We start from the raw sequence: 21,159 nt of genomic DNA, 5'->3' as shown, positions 1-21,159 counted from the left end.
ATGTACAAATCATGGAATAATGGATTTAAAGGAAGGTAGCAAGTGAATTTTTACAAATTTATTTTACACTAACATCAACTTTTTAAAGAGGAAGAAAGATCTTGCAGTATCAATTATTGTAGCTGAAGGTGTCTGCCTATTTAGACAATCTTTGAAAATCTACTCAATTTGCAGAAAGGAAAATAGTGATTACTGACAAGTCTGCCATGCAAACCATAGCTAGAGGAAGCAATGCCCCAGGGGTCATCTGATCATAAATCTGGAATTAAAAATAAATTGTTATGTTGTGATCCTTATGTTGATTTAGATCTTTGTTCAAAAGTATACTTCTTAATTTTTAAATTTCTAGTAGATTAAACTAGTCAGCATCATTCACTTAATACATATTCTAACACTTCTTTATATTCTCCCTGCGCTCTATTTATTGGTGACCTTTGGGTCCAGTCACTCTTATAGCTGGGGGTCATGCCCACTTTAAAATGTATTTTTTTTTTAGTTCAATGATTTACCAGTACTTGTGTTCCTGCCATTGTATACCTGGTATATACCTTTAGTTTCTCCAGATCCCTGAGCTAATATCCCTTGTATTAGACCATTCTTGCATTGCTATAAAGACTGAGAGTCAGTAATTATTTAAAAACAGGTTTAATTGGCTCATGGCTCTGCAGGCCATACCAGCATTTGCTCAGCTTCTGATGAGGGCTTCACAAAGCTTATAATCATGGCAGAAAGCAAACGGGGAGCAGGCACACCACATGGCAAAAGGAGAAGCAAGAAAGAGAGAGTGGCTGGGAGGTGCCACACACTTTAAAATTATCAGATCTCATATGAACTCAGCACAAGAGCTCACTTATCACCAAGGGGATGGCCCACGGCATTCAAGAGGAATCCACCACCATCCTGCAAATACCTCCCACCAGTCCCCACCTCTAACACCAGGAATCACATTTCAACAGGAGATTTGGGTGGGGACAAATATCCAAATTATATCATTCTGCCGCTGACAGTCACCCCAACCAATCTCATGTCCTTCTCACATTTCAAAATACAATCATGTCTTCCTAATAATCCCCCAGAGTCTTAACTCATTCCAGCATTAACTCAGAAGTTTATAGACCAAAGTCTCATCTCACAAGGCAAGTCCCTTCCACCTATAAGCTTGTGTATTAGCCTGTTTGCATGCTACTGATAAAGACATACTCAAGACTGGGAAATTTACAAAAGAAAGAGGTTTAATTGGACTTACAGTTCCAAGTAGCTGGGGAAGCATCACAATCATGGCAGAAGGCAAGCAGGTGCAAGTCATGTCTTACTTGGATGACAGCAAGCAAAAAGAGCTTGTGCAGGAAAACTCTCTCTTATAATAACCATCAAATCTTGTGAGACTTACTCATTATCACAAGAACCACATGGGAAAGACCTGCGCCCATGATTCAATTACCTCCCACTGGGTCCCTCCCACAACACATGGGAATTCAAGTTGAGGTCTGGATGGGGACCCAGCCAAACCATATCAGCCTGAAAATTTACAAAAAAAAAAAAAGTTATTTAGTTCCAAGATACAATGGGTGTACAGGCATTGGGTAAACAATCCTGTTCCAAAAGGGAGAAATCAGCCAAAAGAAACTGACTACAGGCCACATGCAAGTTCACAACCCAACAGGGCAGACATTAAATCTTAAATCTCCAAAATAACCTCTTTTGACTCCATGTCCCACATCCAGGGCACAGTGGTACAAGGAGTGAGCTTCCAAGGCCTTCGTCAGCTTTGCCTCTGTGGCTTTGTAGCATTCATTGCTCAAAACTACTCTCTCAGGTTATTGAGTGCCTGTGGCTTTTCCAGGTGCAGGGTAAAAGCTACCAGTGGATCTACTATTCTGGGGTCTGGAGGATGGTGGCTCCCTTCTCACAGCTTCATTAGGCAGTCCCCTGGTGGGGACTTTGTGTAGGGGTTCCACACCACATTGCCCCTCCACACTGCCCTAGCAGAAGTTCTCTCTGAAGGCTCCTCCCCTGCAATGGGCTTCTACCCGGACACCCAAGCAAGGGTGTATAAGAAATCTTATACACCTTCTGAAATCTAGGCAGAGGCTGCCAAGCTTTCTTTATTCTTGCATTCTGTGCACCTATGTGCTTACCACCACATGGAAGCTGCCAAGACTTGTGACTTACATTCTCCAAAATGAAAGCCTAAGTTGTACCTGGGCCCCTTTGAGCCACGGCAGGAGCTAGAGCAGCCTGGATGCTGGGAGCAGTGTCTTGAGGCTGCTTAGGGCAGCAGGGCCCTGGCCCTCAAAATAATTCAGTCCTCCTGGGCCCCTGGACCTGTTACAGGAGGATATGCTGCGAAGGTCTTGGAAATGCCATTGAAGCCTTTTCCCCATTGTCTTAGTTATTAGCACTTGGCTCCTTTTTAGTTATGCAAATATCTCTAGCAAGTGGTTACTTCACATCCTTCTTGAATTCCTGTGCCAAATAAAAACGTTTTCTTTCTCTGCCACATAGCCAGGCTGCAAATTTGCCATTTTATGCTCTGCTACCCTTTTAAAATCAGTTCCAACATTAAGTTATTCCTTTGCCCCCACATCTGAGCATAGGCTGTCAGAAGCAGCCAGGAAAATTTTTGAACACTTTGGTGCTTAGAAATTTCTTCTACTAGATACCCTAAGTCATCAATCCAAAGTTCAAACTTCCACAGATCCCTAGGGCATGAGCAACATGCAGCCAAGTTCTTTGCTAAGGCCTAACAAAAGTGACTTTTGCTCCATTTCCCAAAACTTCCTCATTTCCATCTGAGACCTCACTGGCCTGGATTTTACTGTCCATATCTCTGTCATCATTGTGCTCACAATCATTTAACCAGTCTGTAAGAAGTTGCAAACTTTACCTCATTTTCCTACCTTCTTCTGAGTTCTCCACACTCTTCCAACCTCTGCCCATTACCCAGCTCCAAAACCGCTCCCACATTTTCAGGTATATTTATTTATACCAATACATCATTCCTGGTACCAATTTCCTGTATTAGGCTGTTCTTGCATTGCTATAAAGAAATACCTGAGACTGGGTAATTTATAAGAAAAGAAGTGTAATTGGCTCACGGTTCTGCAGGCTGTACAAGCATGGCACCAGCATCTGCTCGGCTTCTGATGAGGGCTTCACAAAAGTTACAATAACGGTGGAAGGCAAAGGGAGAACAGGCACATCATATGGCAAAAGTGGGAGCAAGAGAGAGTGGGAGGAAAGTGTCACACCTTCTAAATGATCAGATCTCATTTGAATTCAGAGGAAGAGCTTACTTATCACCATAGGGATGGCCCAACTCACTCATGAGGGATCTGCCCCTCGATGCAAACACCTCCCACTAGGCCTCACCTTCAACACTTGGAGTTACATTTTAACATGACAGTTAGGTGGAGACAAATATTCAAACTATATTATCCCTGCTCCTGATACTTTGGCTTTGAACCTAAGCAAGTTGCTTGGCATAAATGACTGTGAATAGCTACATTCTTAGTTCCAACCTCATCCCATTCTCCCTTTCCACTAAAAATGATTTCTCTGTCCCTGCCCTAAGTCTCAAACTTACATAACTTGTCTTTCTGTTCTTAGATTAGAAACCCCAACATGGACATCTTCTGGGACCTCCAGCAGAAACTTGTTTAAATTCTAAATCAAAGTAATATGCAGTCCAGCCCATTCTGTCACTTTGTAAGTCTGGTATTACTTTAAAAAGTGTGACTGAGAATCACTTACATATTTTACTTGGAAGTTTAAGTGACAGGTCTCAGATATCAAAGAGACATCCTAATGGCATCTCACCCTAACTCCAGACAGCTAATATCTGAACTCCCAAACATGGTCAATATTAGTGAATACTCTGGGCACTTATATGGTGGCAGAATATCAAACTGTAATTCAGTCATACTGCCAACTAGTGGCAAAAGATAAATAAATTAAATGGGAATGAATGTCATATCATAGATCTGCAACACTTCAATGAGTGGCACTTTTCTAGCAAAGTTTTTGCTTAGATTCTAAAACACCTGAATTTTTATACTCAGATCTCCAAAAATTAGGTCTCACTTTATCTCCTTATTAGTTAGCAGTAGAAAGTTATCAAAATGATTCTCTTAGGCTTCTAACTCTCTTCCAAACCTGCTTTTAGTCTCCAATTTTATCTATACATGAAACATCAGTGATTCTTCCTTCCTTTGACACTCTCATAAAGTAGAAAACAAACTATTAGATTACGGTAATATACATGTAAATATAACACATACTTTAAAAGTTCATAAAAGTACATAAAGCTTATACATAAAAGTACATTAAAACAAGTTCAGACTGACTACCATCTCAGATAAGTATAGCCTTACAAAGGAAGAAAGTCAATCTTGAAAAAATAATACAGCCAAAGAGATACAAGGGTTTTCCAATAAGAGAGGGAGGCAAGGTCAAAAGTGCATGCAGTAGATAAATGCTTTCCTCCCTAAAATGTAAATTTTAACTTTGCAAGAAAAATATAACAGGGAATGAAGAGTATGGGAGAGAGGAAAGTAAGCACAGAGGTGAAAGGATAGAGAAGCAAATCTGACATCAATTTGTTAATCCTCTTTATTCCACACAAATTATGTTCTTAAATACACTGATAAGTCATGTAAACCTATAACAACTGTGAATTTGTTCAATTAATCTTTAATACTTTCAAAAGTTTGCCTTGATTACTAAGTTTAGTTGGTCCTGCTTATATCTAGGCTGAAAAATTATTTAGTTCTCATTAATGGTCTTATCAACTATTTATTTGGTTGAATCTTCCTTTCTGTATTCCAGTGGGAAAAAATTAAAATTCAGAGTGATAATGAACTGCTATTTTTTCCTCAGTAATAAAGAAAGTTGAAGTACCTGAGGTGTTATTTCAACAATGTTTACCAATTTTGTTTACATATCAAGTAGAACAACAGCCAAGCTTACTAGTGATTACTGCTTTAATGAATTATTTTGATTGCTTATTTCAGAAAGGCTACTTGTTTCACATAAAATCCTTCTCAGTTATTAAAATACTGATTTAAATTTTTTAACAAAGATTTGTGAATTTTCCTTAAATCATCCTGTTTTCTAATAGTATATGTTTATCTAACAGAGAAATATCTGCATTGTCTCCGTGTAATTATTTGAACTACTTAAGTATATTTGAAATGACTGTCTTCTAGTTAAATTACATATTCTATAATTTTAACTAAAAAACAGCTGTGAGAACAGTACCTATCCTTTGTTTTCCTTCAAAAAATGAGTAACTCTTTATTTGTTTAGAAATTGCTTAAAAGTTATTGTTACTATTGAGAAATATAGTCTGTATTCTCAGAATTAAGCAACATCCATAACAAACAGTCAAATGTCATAATCAGTTCAGCACGCATTTGTAAATGTAGAACCCTATAAACAACAAAAAGTATTTTTAAAAATAACATTTTTTTCTTAAATAAAAGGCGTTCTTCTGACTATGGGTGTTTATCTTAAGAAATTTAAGAGACTAAACAAAAGTGGACACATCACCTATCATCTCACCCCCAGCACTATCATTTTTAGTATTTTGTTTGCTACATTTCATTCCATTTATTTATAGGCATAGATATAGATATATATATATGCACATATAGTCAATCTTACAATCTTATCTTACAAATAAAATTGAAGTTAGGTTCAAGATAAACTTTTATGTTCTGTTAGTTTTTTTGTCTGTTGCCTTGTCCATTTGTATTAAATGGACTGTAGCTGTATCAAGAATAGGATTTTCATGCTTAGAGGAAGACCACCACCAACCCCAGGGTGTCAAGAATGAGCCTTGAACACTGAAACACTGAGAGGCCTGTCATGCTCCTCAGACCTATCAGCCTCCATCTGCCAAGTCAACAGAGAATCGAGATTATCAAAATAGCACTAACTCTACTTTGTCTTTTATGCTTCCTCTGAAGAGTGGAAAAGGGTCCACATTTACCCTTCCCTACTGCTCCTTCCTTCCTCATGGTTTTGCCATGAATGTTTGTCTTAAGACTACCAGTACTAATGCCATCATGCCATTTTTTCTTGTTTGTTTGCCTCTGAAGAAGACTCTCAGATTACCCTCAGTCTCCTACCTTCTGCTCTCCATGTAGCTCTATACAACTCCTATCCTAGAACTGACTCTCACCACCCTCATTTCTAAAACCTCCCCACTATACCTTCTGGAACCCACCACACATCCACGGCAAAATTCTCAATACTCTTAATATGTTCTCTGAACATTTCTTACCCCTTATTCCTACAACGACAACCAAGATCTCCATTGAACAGACTGCTCTCTACAGCCCTCTCTAGTGGTAGCTGTTTCCCGCTCCCCCCCCCCCCACCCCACAGCCTTCCTAGCACAGGGACTGAAGATGGGGTAGGTATCATCTTTATCCTTCATTGTCATTTTCATGCTCTACTTTTGTCCTTAAAAATTCCTGGATATGTAGACTTTACATCCTTGTTAGAGTTATCTATTGACCCCCTCATTTGCGGACAGTCTTAACATTCTCTAACTCTATTTGCTATCTTCATTTGTGGTGATTTTAATATTCACATAGGTGATGCTTCCAATACCCTAGTCTTTTGATTCCTTTTGAAAGATCTTATACTTCGTGACATATAAACCACTCACTCTCCTAGTCATACCTTTGCATTTGTTACTGATCACTACAACCTTCTAAAATCTCAGTTTCAAGAATCCCACTCTTTGAGGCTGGGTGCGATGGCTCATGCCTGTAATCCCAGCGCTTTGGGAAGCCACAGCAGATGGATCACTTGAGGTCAGGAGTTCAAGACCAGTCTGGCCAACACGGTGAATCCCTTCTCTACTAAAAATACAAAAATGAGCCAGGCTTGGTGGTGCGCACCTCTAGCCCCGGCTACTTGGAAGGCTGAGGCAGGAGAATCGCTTGAACCAGGGAGATGGAGGTTGCAGTGAGCCAAGATTGTGCCATTGCACTCCAGCCTGGGTGACAAAGTGTGACTGTCTTTAAAAAAAAAGAATCCCACTGTTTGAATGTTACTTCCTAAATTTCCAACTCTTTATCTCCATTATCCCAACACTTTGATTCCACCAGGATCTACAATGCATTATTTCTGCCTCATTTGCACTGTCTCTCACTCAGCTCAAGCTTTTTATTATTACTTTACCCAGATATTTCCACTACGAAATCCTAATAAACAAAGACGATTATTTTTATTTTTTATTTTTATTTTTTCCACTGTGTAATTCCTTTATTTTCGGCATATTAGTGCTTTACCAACACTACAACCATAAAGAACACAATTCCAAGTACTGTAATTTTTAGTTTGGGGAGATCACAGTCTACAGACTCATTTACTTATATTAAACAAGATTAACCTCATTCAAAACTTACTGCAGTTTATAAATTCACATAAATACAAAAACTGATGCAATTAAACAACTTCAGGATCTTATTTTTTCAATTCTTAGATTATAACTTTTCTGCAGGCTATAATTACGTTCCATAGTCATCAATGGTTATTGTTCAATTTAACTGCATCAATTATAAACCTCTTACATCCTTAAAGAAAATTTAAGTGAAAATTACAATTTCTTACCAAAAGGTTTAGGGTTTTCCAGATCTCAAATATTTGCTTCCCCCTCCCCACTTTCCAGTCCAATATTTCAAATAAACTAAAAATAACCACATCTGACCTGCAACATTCAATAAGAGCAATCACTTGATGTACAAAATTTTAACTATGCCCCCATTTATTTTAAGAACGCAAAAAAATGGCTGCCTACCAATCTGTCTTCACAAGTTAGAAATACCACATTGAAGATTTAACATGAGAGTTTCAAGTTTCCTCCAGTTTAGGCATTTATACCTTTGTGCTTGTTTTGTTTCAGGATGTTACTATAGCATTGATATTTGGATAACCCATATTGATATACCTTAAATTAACAATTCTGTGCTTACACTCTCAGATTTCTTGACTCTTAGTGTATGATGTGTATTTATTGAAACCTCAACACTCTGCCTATTCTGCACTCACTTGTGCAACTGACTGTGGTTCAAGAAAAATGCACAACTGTACCAGTCGATCTCATTTTAAATACATTACTACAAATATCAAGAGGTCTTCTCTTGCTTCTTGGAAATCAGAACACATTTCTGTAGCTCATTCATTCTTGATTCTCCTAGATACTCCTGACTCTTCTAAGTACTCCTTCTCCATCTTCATTCTCAGAACAACATTGTTTTTCATTGAGAAAGTTAAGTGAGTAGAAGACAGCTTCTGCAAGACACCAAATCTATCTGCCCTCCCTCATGTTATAATTAAATATCACTGTTTAAGCCCAACCATCCACTTTCACACTATATTGCATACTCTTGTCTACCCAAGGACATTGCTCCAAGGATGTTCCCTCTCCTGATTATTAAATTTTCCCTCTCCAGATCAACCAATCAACTAATATGCATGTTGCTTTTATCTCTTCTTTTTTAAAAAATAAAAATTATCAGGCTGGGTGTGGTGGCTCATGCCTGTAATCCCAGCACTGTGGGAGCCTGAGGGGGGCGGATCACGAGGACAGGAATTCAAGACCTGCCTGGCCAATATGGTGAAACCCCATCTCTATTAAAAATACAAAAATTAGCCAGGCATGGTGATCGCGCCTGTAATCCCAGCTACTCCAGAGGCTGAGGCAGGAGAATCGCTTAAACCTGAGAGGTGGAGTTGCAGTGAGCCGAGATCGCACTACTGCAGTCCAGCCTGGGCGACACAGCAAGATTCCGTCTCAGAAAAAATAAATAAATAAATAAAAATTATCCTAATCAATTTTCCTCTTGCTATTGCTTCATTTATCTTCTTCTCTTTACAGTAAAACATCTCAATAAAAAGAATAAAATATCTAGGAATACAATTAGCCAGGGAGGTGAAAGATCCCTATGATGAGAATTATAAAATATTGCTCAAAAACATCAGATATGACACAAACAAATGGAAAAACATTCCATGCTCATGGATAGGAAGACTCAGTATAGCTAAAATGGCCATATGCCCAAAGCAATTTACAGATTCAATGCCATTCTTATCAAACTACCAATGGCATTCTGCACAGAACTAGAAAAGAACTATTTTAAAATTCATATGGAACTAAAAAAGAGCCTGAATAGCCAAGGTAATCCTAAGCAAAAATAACAAAACTTGAGGCATCATGTTACCTGGCTTCAAACTATACTACAGAGCTACAGTAACCAAAACAGCATGGTCCTGGTGATAAAACAAAAACATAGACCAATGGAACAGAATAGAAAGCCCAGAAAGAAGACCACACACCTACAACCATCTGATCTTCAACAAATCTAACAGAAACAAGCAATAGAGAAAGGACTCCCTATTCAATAAGTGGTGCTGAGATAACTGGCTAGCCATGTGCAGAAGACTGAAACTGGACCTCTCCCTTACACCAGATATAAAAGTCAACTCAAGATGGATCAAATATTTAAGTGCAAAACCCAAAACTATAAAAACCCTGGAAGACAACCTAGGCAATGCCATTTTAGACATAGAAAGGGGCAAAGATTTCACGATGAAGATGCCAAAAGCAACTGCAACAAAAGTAAAAATTGACAAATGAGATCTAATAAAACTAAAGGGCTTCTGCACAGCAAAAGAAACTATCAGCAGAGTAAACACACAACCTACAGAATGGGGGAAAATAGTAGCAAACTATGCATCTGACAAAGGTCTGATATTCAGCATCTATAAGGAACTTAAATTTACAAGAGAAAAAACAAGCCCATTAAAAAATGGGCAAAGGACATGAACAGACACTTCTCAAAAGAAGCCAAACGATTTTAAAATCTAACCTTTAATTTGTTTTCTTGATATTTTATTAAGATATTCATATCCAGGATGTAAAGCGGATTTAGTCTATAATTTATATTTCTGTGCCCTGTCAAACTTTGATATGAGGATCATGCTAGCTTCATAGATAAAATGGAAAGCTCTTTTTTTTCCTCTCCAAGATCTGGATAAGATCATATAGTTTAAGAATTATGTTTCTTTAATCATTTGAAAGAGTTTGCCTATTAAAACACTAGTTTCCAGAGACATTTTTGTGGGTAACTTTTATAGGTCTGTTTCATTTGGTTTTCACTGACTTTATTGTATGTTTATTTGTTTGTTCTGCTGGCCCTTGCTCATGGTTTCATGCATTTTATGTGTTTTGTATTTTTGGCTATGATATTGTGTTCTTTAGAACTCAAGCAATAAGTAGAACTTCTTAGAGGCCTGCTTTGGAAATACAATTTTCCAGAAAGAACTGTGTGTTTCTGCCAACTACTGTGGCCACTACCAATCCAGAGTCACTTTAAATTGAATTCTTTGATCAGGTATTATTTCAGACCACACTAGTGGTGTGAGTTCAGTCCTCACACTAGTGTGAGTGTAGGCTTTGTGTTTATAAGCTTTCAAGAGTGATTTTTGTTTTACTTCCACCCAACACAAGCTTAGTACATCAGGTTTCCTACAAGCTCATTCTTATTCTGGAGTCTCCTGTATAGTTTCTTAATTTGGATAAGAAGCCATCAAAACAGAAGCTCAGATTCCACTAGAATTTAATAAACATACTTAAAGCAAAAGCTGGCAATAGTTCAGTTAACATAAATTATGCCAAACTTTGCCATAGCATCTCCTTTTTCGTTTTGTTTTCACAACTGACATCAGCTTTTATATTACCTTAAGTATTTGTATTTTAATGAGAATTTGGTAGACAGCAAGCATATTCATTATGGCACATTTGCCAAAATGCTAATCTACTCTGCAGGTATTTATTCCCATATGTTCAATCCATGCCATGGCTCAGTTTTGGTTTTCTTTTAAACTCACACATTGTTGAAATCAGCCAGAATAGACACACTCTGACTCAAGGGTCCCCAACACCACCTACATATTTGGTGATTCACTGGAAGGACTCACAGGGCTCAGGCACATAGTTCCACTAAACACTAATATTTCTTATATAGACATAGTAAAGATTAAGAGCTGGGTTAGACAGGGAAAACAACATCAGGTAAAGACAAGGAAGAATCCATGGAAAGTTTCCTATCACCTTTCCCCAACCTGACAGCTCACACAGAGCACACTGTCCCTCTAGAAAACAAACAAACAAAAAAAATATAGCATCAAGTGTGAATTTTTCTGCCAACTGAAGCCCATTTAAAACTCAGAGTTTAGGAGTTTTACTAGGGGCTGGGAACATAGACGCTTTTGCCTAGCAACTACCAGAATTCCAGACTTACAAAAAGAAAGCAGACATTACAATAAATTCCACTGTTTATACGAATGTCTAGGCCCAGAGAAATTACCTTACCAGTTAAGGGAGTGCTTCAGAAGCCAAGTTCCCAGGTATCAGTCAGTGGTCAAATCTTGCAAATGAGCTTTCTAAAGAGAGGAGCCTCAGATGGTCTAGGTGAATGTTTCTGCACGTAACACCCCTCCCCCCACCAAATGCTTTTGACACTCTAATCTATTGATTGTTTACTGTTACCAACAAATAATTAATAAGAATCCAGTATAATTGGTTTGTGACTACAAAAACCAATTTATGATTCAAATACATGTTTAAGTAAGCCTGTTTTGATTTAGCTAACAAAACCAAATTGTATAAATCACTTATCTCCTCCAATAATTACTATTTTCATTTCTGCAATAAAATACTGAGAAATTCAACTTACTATTTTCAAGTTCTACATTCTATTTGACTATGATTTTGAGTAAACATTTAATTCTTTTTAATCAAGTTGCTACATTAGGAGAGCTGGTACATTTTAAATTAAGCAATATTACTGTAAGTTACCTGAAGGAAAAAAAAATATGTAACGGATATATTTGAAAAGGAAAAACAAAACTGACTCATGGCAGAATCCATTTTGTAATAGTTCTAAACCCTGATATTCACAAATGTGAGTGTAGGTTAATAACTGCTCTTTATTCATCAAATGTTTTGTCTATGCATGTTTTGTTAAAGGAGCAATTATCTATTCAGAGTTCTAACAGAGATCTGGAAAACTGCTTGCCTGAAAGAGCAAAATTGGTCTTACGTGACTTCAGATATATCATGATATAATAGACATACTGCAATAATGACACACAGACACTCAACTATGGAACTGATGATATTTTAAGATTCCTCATAGAAACTGAGTACAAATAGAGACAGATAATCACAATCTGAATTAATTTTATTACAATTAAATCTGTTGTAAAATTAGTAAAAGAAAATCTCCTACTGAATGCAAAGAGAATCAAGGTCATCTGAGGTGATACATTTCTGCAGACAACCAGGAGTGAGTCTATTTTCTCCTTCCTCTCACACACATCGTGCTTTGGCTGTGGGGTAATTCATGAAAGGAGAAAACAAGTACAGAATTTCATAGTGAAATAAGATTTTCTCTTTCAATCGTGAAATTATAATTGGCCAATTGCTGGCAGCTGCCTTTAGAATTTGTGTTTTCCAAATGTTAATAGGCCTCAAGTTAGCAGTAAATGTGAACACTAAATGGAAATCCTTTGTTTTCTTTTGTTTTATTAGGGCACAAATAGAATCCTTGCTTTTATGGTTTATTCTTGTCATTTGCCAAACTAAAAGACTATGCCATACATTATACCATAAGCAATCTTCTACTAAATAGTCTTTAAACTACTCAGTTCATGATTATTTCAAATATCAAAAGCCAGTTCTTGTAAAATGTGGAGTTTCATCAAAAAGACAATATTATTTAAAACATGTATTTCCAGTATGTTTATTTTATTTGATATTCATTTTTTCTAGAAATCTGTATATCTATATATAGATATACAGATATACACATATACAGATCTATATAGCTATATATATATATATACACGATAGATAGATAGATGCCTGCATTACAGCCATTCCAAAGCACAGGCAGCAAAAAATCTACTATATTTATATATTTTTAATGTAGAGATTATTTTCATAATTGGAGCCAGGATGTAATTATTTTTTCCTAAGCCTTTCTCCAGTATTGGCTAAACTAGCATCATAAAATATTACTTCGACCATAACAAGCCACTCCAAAAAAGTCCTATTTGTTACAATAAAAACATTCATTTATAAAACAAAAATAAAATCACTTACTTAAAAACTTAAAAAGAGAACTTCATAAGGGACATCCCCCATATTTAAAATTATCATGACATTGCATTTATGGTCAGAATGAAAGCATAATGTAGAAATTAAATTAGGTTTCCTTTTTGAATTAACATCCCAATTTCTTCCTGGATTGGTTAACTGCATTTGTCACCATGGACACTTTCTTCACTATTCAGAATTTTCAACTGTATTTAAAACAGATCACATTCATTTCCTCTGCATCAATATACTAACTAGTCAATGGAAATCGAAACACAACCAAAATAGATACTTTATACTGCTGCCAAGAGGAGAGGGTTCAAAGCAGAGGTGTAATTAAAAGTATGACTAAGCAGATAGAATCACATTAAAGAGGCTTCTCACAAGACAGAAAAAAATTTGGAAAAAAGAAGCAAGTGCCCCCCTAAATATGATATTGCCATCTCTGCCTGAATCATTTGAGCACAAGAATCTCAGCTTTCTGGTACAGGCCCCAGTTGCTATAGAAACTTACAACTGGGAGCTAAATAAAGTAATTTCTATGCTAGTGTTGGTGTCTATAACTTCAGCACCTGATGCTAACCAAATTGTGCTCAATAAACAAATTTAAACTTTAAAAGCCTGCAATGTGATCACAATGCTTTCTATACAACTGATTAATCTCAACTGATCTTGGCTCAGAGCACAAGAACATAAGAAATCTCAGAAACAGAAAAAGACTACTTAAGGCAAATACGCCTGCATCCTTTGTTTTTCTTATCTGATTTCCTAGTTTATCCCCATATCTCTATCCTGTCTTAGTCTGAAAATAAAAAGTCAGCTAGCTCACTCCCTAACTCATCAATAATCCTGCTTTCACTGATCCCTTTTAGACAATTTATTCTATATTAAACCACTCCCTCTTGGCCTCCCCTTTTTCATTTATCCTACTCTAAACCTAAAGAACAAAGAGATCAGGCAGCTCAATAGATACTTATTTCTTAATCCTCCCAGCTGGGCCTATTATTGCTGCACATTTGATTTTAAGATTATTCACTATTTGGCAAGAAATCAAGAATCTGAAATAGCCCCTTGATGCCCGTTTGTGTGGGCATGTCAGGCCCTTGCCCATTATGTCACCAAGCAGTGTTTTTGGCTGTGGTAATGCTCTCTTATTAAGCGAAATGAGACCACAGGGCCTAAATATATGTTTGCATTCTTCCCCAGCATCACTTTAGAAAGGATATACTATATAAGCCCTTTGTTCTTCTCCAGTGGGCCCAGGCATTTCAGGTCAATGTCACTGTGAGAATTTAAAGTATGAAAAAAATCATCTGAATATATTACCTCATTAAAGCACATGAATACCATTGTCATAAGCACCAAACACAAATACATATATTAGCAAATTTGTTTCTTCTTATCAGAGATTTGTAGTGATAAGCATTTGAGGCTGCATATTTTTTTCTGTTAAAATATTGTATTTATTTCACATTTGTTAAAGCTCTTTGGCCCCCATTCCAGTGTACACTCCAGAGGCTTAGATGAGTCTATGACCTGTGATATCAAAGCCCAAATCAGTTCAGGGCAGAGTATTTGACAATAACATGAAGAGTCTGTTGCCTAATTATGAAAAAAAGTAGGTCAGATCAAGCAATCAATTTTCTAATCATTTCTGATCTAATCATTTATATTTCTATCAATCACCTTTATTACATGTAGAAAAAGAAAAACTGAAAAAGAAAGAAAAAAGGAAAGGAAGAAAGAATGGAGGGAGGGAAGAAAGGTAAGCATAGTTCCTCCAAGTTCTGTAAAACTAAGTCTTTTAAAAAATGCTTTACTTTGAAATGAAGATGAAATTTTTATGAGGCAATATTTTCTTTTAATTATCAAGATGCTTTCAAACACCATGGGAGATTTTGAAACACTAAAATAGGAACTGATAATATGAGCTCACCATGCATTCATAAACCTTTCCCCCTGAGTTCTTCTGGATTCTAACTGCTACCTTGGCTTTAGCCCAATAAGCTTTTAAAAACAAAGAGGAAATACTGGGGGTTAAACCTAAGGACTGACCTGCTATTGCCACTCCGTGTTCAACCAAAATTCTCATTAGGAAACAACAGGGAATAGTTTTTAGCTGCAAAAAGGCACCCAAGAGAATAACAGAAATATATCAGGTTAACTGGTGGATACACGGCATTGCCTATATACCAAAACAAAAACATCCTGGGAGAGATCTGAGCTATGGCAGGAACAGAGTCAGCTAACAACTGTCAGCTGGGATTTTTGAATAGCATTTAAATCCACCAAGCACCATTTGGGAGCAGGTGACTTCCAAGGAGGATGGGGGAAATGAAATTATGCTAGCTATGGAAATAGAAAGAGAATGGAATTTGGTACCTCTCTCTGTCTCTCTTTTTTTGTGTTTGAGAGATTTTATTTGATTTTTCCAAGCATGCAAAACTTCAATTCTCACATATCTACATAGATATAAATAATAGGCTGTATCCACACACAGTGCACAGTACTTCATAGGCAATTTATAAATATGTATTCTTTACAGAAAGGAAGGGAAAAAGTAAGCAAATGAGGAAAGAAGGAGTGAAGAATCAACTCTGAATTAACACTCACAGAGAAAAAGAACTGAGAGAAGTGAGTTCAGATGGGGCTGAGGTTAGGCATTAGAATGCTTATATTTTAGCCTCAAGCTGTAAGTGGCAGCTGGCTGCATGGCCCTGGCCAGGTGGTCAGCCACCACTCACTAGGAGAATTTGGCATTCAAGTCAAGCAGCTGCAAAGTGAAAACAGCCCAGCAGCTTTGTAGGAACAGAGGTATGGGCCAGTTTCTGGTTCCAGGCTCCCAGCCAATCACGATAGGAGAGGGCTGAGGACACCTGCCCATGACCATAATGGAAAGCATACAACTAATTTATAACACAGAGCACCTAACAGGAAAGACCACAATCCAAGGTGTCAACAAGGCCCTCTGAGATACGAGTTCAGGGGATGGGGGATGGGATAATCATGTCTTAAGTGTGGCATGTTTTGGAGAAAAGATGATGATATGAGAACAAACAGGACCTTAGGAGCCATCTGCCCCCCTCAAATCTTTTAGTAGTAATGATTCAAGTAAAGTGCAGAATTACACAGTTAATTTGTGACACGGTGAACTTGTGAACAGGTCTGCTGATTCTTAGCCCAAAGCTCTTGCACAACAACTGGCTTAAAGCAAATTGCCATTTTACCACCCTTGCTTTGCTCAATAGCAATATTCAAAGCTTGTTCATAGGTGTACCAAAACTATTGAAATAATCTTTAATTTTCTCCTCCATTAAAATAATTTCAAGTGCTTTTCCTAAATAAACATGAAAAAATAAAAATTGCCCTAAATACAGTTTTCCTATTGTAGCATTCAAAGGACACTTATTTTGTAACTTTATACCAATTCAAAAAGGGCACAATTTAAAATGAATTACAGTGTATAGACTTTGTCCCTGCCTTCTGCATTATTTTCAAAAACAAGAGGCTCTAATTATGGTTATGGTACTGCAACACATTCTGGAAATTTAATCTTACAATTTCATTAGCCACAAATTTTTTCACCCCTTTAGGTCTGTATTATAATATTTTATTTATCTAAATCTAGGGGGGTTGGCAAGGGTTATTTGGCATTTCGTAGTAAATCTTTTAAATTCTCATTTGGATTGCAAGTGTTTGAAGGGCTGTATGCAATATACCTCATGCATAGGAAAACAAAGGTGCTAAAAGTGAATGAACAAGCCAGTGCCAGGATTAAAAGTGGAATCTAAAGTTTCTTATATGCATTCGTATACAGCATATTGTTTCTTAAATTCAGTGTCTGTATCTCTTCTTCATGTCTTAACAGAGATTTCTGCTTATTTGTGGAAGTAAACACAATTTTGAACATCATTCATAGCTGTTGTAGCATGGAGGACATGGTGCTGAATTTAGATTATTATAAGTTAATTACTTTGTCTTCTTTTACTTATTTTCCTGTCTTTCTGGGCATCATGCATAAAGAATGGTATATATAATAAGTAGTTAAAAACAATAATAAGACAACATCTGTGTATCCCCCACACGGCTTAAGAAATACAACTCTATTGATTCTTCTGGGTGTCTTTTCCCAAATCCCTCTCTCTCCATTCCGGAGGATTTGCTATGATATATCATTCTTTTGGTCTTCTTTATATTTTTACCAAATATATTTGTGTTCCTAAATAATATGTTGTTTCACTTTGCCTATTTTGAATTCCATATTAGCAGAATCATAGTCTTCTGTTAGAAGTTTTTATTCAACATCATAGTTTTAGGGGTTTGTTTCTTTTTAATTTTATATTAATTTATTTTTACTTGACAGTAACTATATTTATGGAGTACAATGTGATGTTTTGATCTATGTATACATTGTAGGAAGATTCAATCAAGCTAATTAACGTAGGAAATGCAAATTAAAACTACAGTGAGATTTCATCTCATACCTGTTAGAATGGCTATTATCAAAAAGATGAAAATGGAACAGTGTTGGTTAGGATGTGGAGAAAAAGGAACCCTCAGACACTGTTGGTGAGAATGCAAATTAGTACAGCCATTTTGAAAAATAGGGTGGAGTTTCCTCAAAAGACTAAAAATAGAACTACCATATGATCCAGCAGTCACACTCCTGGGTATATATCCAAAGGAAATGAAACGAGTCTTTCAAAGAGATATCTCCTCTTCATCACTCATTTCAACATTATTCACAATAGCAAAGATACGGGCTACACATTTTTGAGGGTTATCTCTATTGACATGTATAGCTGTATTTTATTTATACTGACGTTTTATAGCATTCCATTAGACATACAGGCCACAATTTACCTGGCTATTCTCCTTACATTTGGGTACTTTCCACAAATTTTTCCTCTGTTAAAAACAAAGCAATTGTCTACATTCATGTTCATATCTCCTTGTACACAAGTTCAGTTTTTTCATCTCTCAATTGAGAATAAAAATAGCTACATTCAGGGCTCTTAATGATGCCAACATTCACATTCTTAATCCACAAAGTCATTATTTTTAACATTAAATGAGCATGTGTATAATAAGTACATAGAGCAGAACAAGGGCTGGTTTATATGACATGTTCCATAAGTCTTTCTTCACTCTCTGTTAAGGATGAAGAGATGACTTCATTCCTTCATAGATGGAGTTGCTTTATGCACTTTGCTATGTGACTTATAGGTACAGAAACTTCTGACTCAATATTCAAGCCTGCTATTTGGCCTCTAATAAATGCAGATCTGTATGCTTTAATTATTACTACATGTCAAAGGGACAAAGAGACTCAGGAGAAACAGTGATATCATATGCTGCACGATGAGAGAGAAGCTGCTGCTGCTTCTTGCTTTCCCAGGATTTGTCAGCATTATCTTCCTGGATAGAGTCCAGCTGGCTCAAGCTGTATGAAGCAAAGGCAAAGTGCATTCTTTTGACCCAGATACAGCCTCTAGATATGGAAAATGCAGAACTGTCCTTTGTGGATCCCCTCGAATTCATGTCCTGGCTATCTGACCCAGTTGTCTGTCAGAAACACTGCCACTCTTGATGCTCATAGAAAATACTATATATTAGCCATCAATATTACTTTGATGCTGCACATCTTTAGATTCTTGCTCTGAGCAAGAAGCAAAACAGATATGCCAGGGAAAATGGTGATAGCATATCTTCTCAATAGTTTGAAAAAAAAGTCATGGCACATAGTTTTTTTGTGTGTTTGTCTGTTTGTTTGTTGTTTTTAAACCAGTCTTCTTCATTACAATTTTCTTTGGGGTAAAACTTCTGTCACAATTTCACTTTCTACCCGTCTTCTTCCCTTACTCACATCCCTTAAGGACTTTTCTCCAAAACAGTATCTAGAATCTTATAAATTGATGTCTGATTCCCAGCCTAATCAACTTTGGAGAAAGGGAAGGAAGAAAATCTTCCATAGGTGAAACAAACTAAAAAAAAAAAAAGTTCGAAATTCTGAATTTGTATTTTCTGTTACTAAAATAAGACTTTTCCTTCCTCTTCTTCTCTCCCCCTTTTTAATGCTATCTCCATTTGGTTAACATTCAATTATATATGACAGCTGGTATGAAAATTGAACTCTACTAAGTGTGGCTAATAAAAGAAGAGAGAGAGAGAGAGAGAGAGAGAGAGACAGAAAGAGACTGTGGAAGAGCCAACATATTTAGAAATCCTCTTTGAAAATTTCCTGAGCGTTGCATTCAGTTAGATTGCAATTCACTTTGGTTATTTGCTTTCCTAATTTTTCCAAAGAGATGGTGGGTAAGCATTTAAAAAGAGCATGCAACAACAAATATTTCTCTTCTGAGGCTGCTACCATGTGCTTTATACGTGAAAAGTAAATGGCAAAAGTGCATAAACATTTGATGTAGATAATATTGTGAAGCTGATGCTTTGGGGGAAAATTTCTTGAGATGTACAAAATATTATTATTCATGTAGCTAGTTTGGGGGAAGAAACCAGAAAAAGCAAACCACTTCATCTCTGAACATTGTGGCCAGTACCAAACTTCAGTATAGTGCGTGTGTTGGGGGCTGGGGGGACGCTGCTTCAATGACAATACTGTAGGCATAACAACAATAGAAGTATAAAGGAATGATAGAACAGAAGAGCCAATTAGCCTCAGGGTTGGCTTGACCCAGGAAGAGAAATCAGGTTTTGTAAAGCAATACAGAGAATGCCAAATCAAGGCACACATATTGCTTCTGAGCCATTTTCTCAGCACTAATTGCAGGCTTTATTACACAGTGTAGTATTATAAGTTAATGATGACTGGTGGCATACTGTGAGGAAAGGAGGCACTAGGGAACCAGACCAGAACTGACCAAGGCCACCCCTTACTTAAAACTAATAGGCTTAATGTAAAAGCCACACATCAACACTAGTGGGAGGAAAATTTTGCCAACTCAGAGGCAGATAATAAAAACTCAAGTGAGAATGAGGCTGACATTGACACTGTTCAGTCTCATCAAGTGGCTGATGAGGATGAGGACGCTACATCATTCCCTGAGGATAGAAATGAGCCAAATAATGACAACATGTGGGAAAGAGACAATTAAAAGAATTCAGAAAGCATGACAATTAGATCTGTGTCTGATGAGGGGAACAGTGCAAATGAACCACTTAACATAGCTAAGTCAATATACACCCAAAATATATTAGGTACAAACAATGTAAAATAGATGCCTAGTAGGCAGAGCATGGGACCAGGGAAATCTTCCATGACTATACATAGAGCAAGCATTTCTACAGCAAGCCATGAGCTAAGGATAGAAGGGGCTACAAAGACAAAAGTCTTTGTCTTTAAGGTGATTGACAGGACATCTAAATTCAGCACCATATCATCAGGCTATAGCCAGCAAATGGAAACCATGCTAGTTAGTTCAACAGAGAGGGTCTAAAGCAAGAAATGTTTAAAAAGTTATTGGAGCTGGGCGCCGTGGCTCATGCCTGTAATCCCAGCACTTCGGAGGAGGAGGCTGAGGCGGGCGGATCACCTGAGGTCAGAAGTTCAAGACCAGCCTGACCAACATGGTGAAATCCCGTCTCTAGAAGAACTACAAAAAATGAGCTGAGTGTGGTGGTGCATGCCTGTAGCCCCAGCTACTTGGGAGGCTGAGGCACAAGAATTGCTTGAACCAGGGAGACGGAGTTTGCAAGGAGCCGAGATTGTGTCATTGCACGCCAGCATGGACGACAGAGTGAGACTCTGTCTCAAAAAAAAAAAAAAAAAAAACCATCAGAAGACTCAACAATCAAAAAGGGAACATTGGACTGACACAATGATAGTAATCTTAGCATGTAAGGAACAAGGTAAGAAGTTGAATTTATCAGAACACTAGAAGAGAGGCCTTGAGAAGCTGTGATTCAGATCTCTTAGGAACAAGAGCCTCTGATTACTCTGCGGGTATCTCAAAAGCTCAAAAGAG

General features: G+C 37.1%; 1 long non-coding RNA gene across 1 annotated transcript in view, besides 1 other annotated feature; it reads right to left on the bottom strand.

Moving 5' to 3' along the window:
• Window positions 1–21,159, bottom strand: part of LINC02008 (long intergenic non-protein coding RNA 2008) — a 477,534-nt gene that overhangs the window by 446,769 nt on the left and 9,606 nt on the right. The window lies entirely within an intron of this gene.
• Window positions 15,841–15,890: a silencer, noted in NCBI's record as "silent region_14541". NCBI's record gives its function as "represses an Ori minimal core promoter by ATAC-STARR-seq in GM12878 lymphoblastoid cells {active_cell/tissue: GM12878}" and the evidence as "EXISTENCE:reporter gene assay evidence [ECO:0000049][PMID:35858748]".

Source organism: Homo sapiens, chromosome 3 (assembly GCF_000001405.40).
Source record: "Homo sapiens chromosome 3, GRCh38.p14 Primary Assembly".
Lineage (NCBI taxonomy): Eukaryota > Metazoa > Chordata > Mammalia > Primates > Hominidae > Homo > Homo sapiens.
Note: the sequence above shows the minus strand (reverse complement) of the source record. Positions and strands in the feature narration are given on the sequence as shown.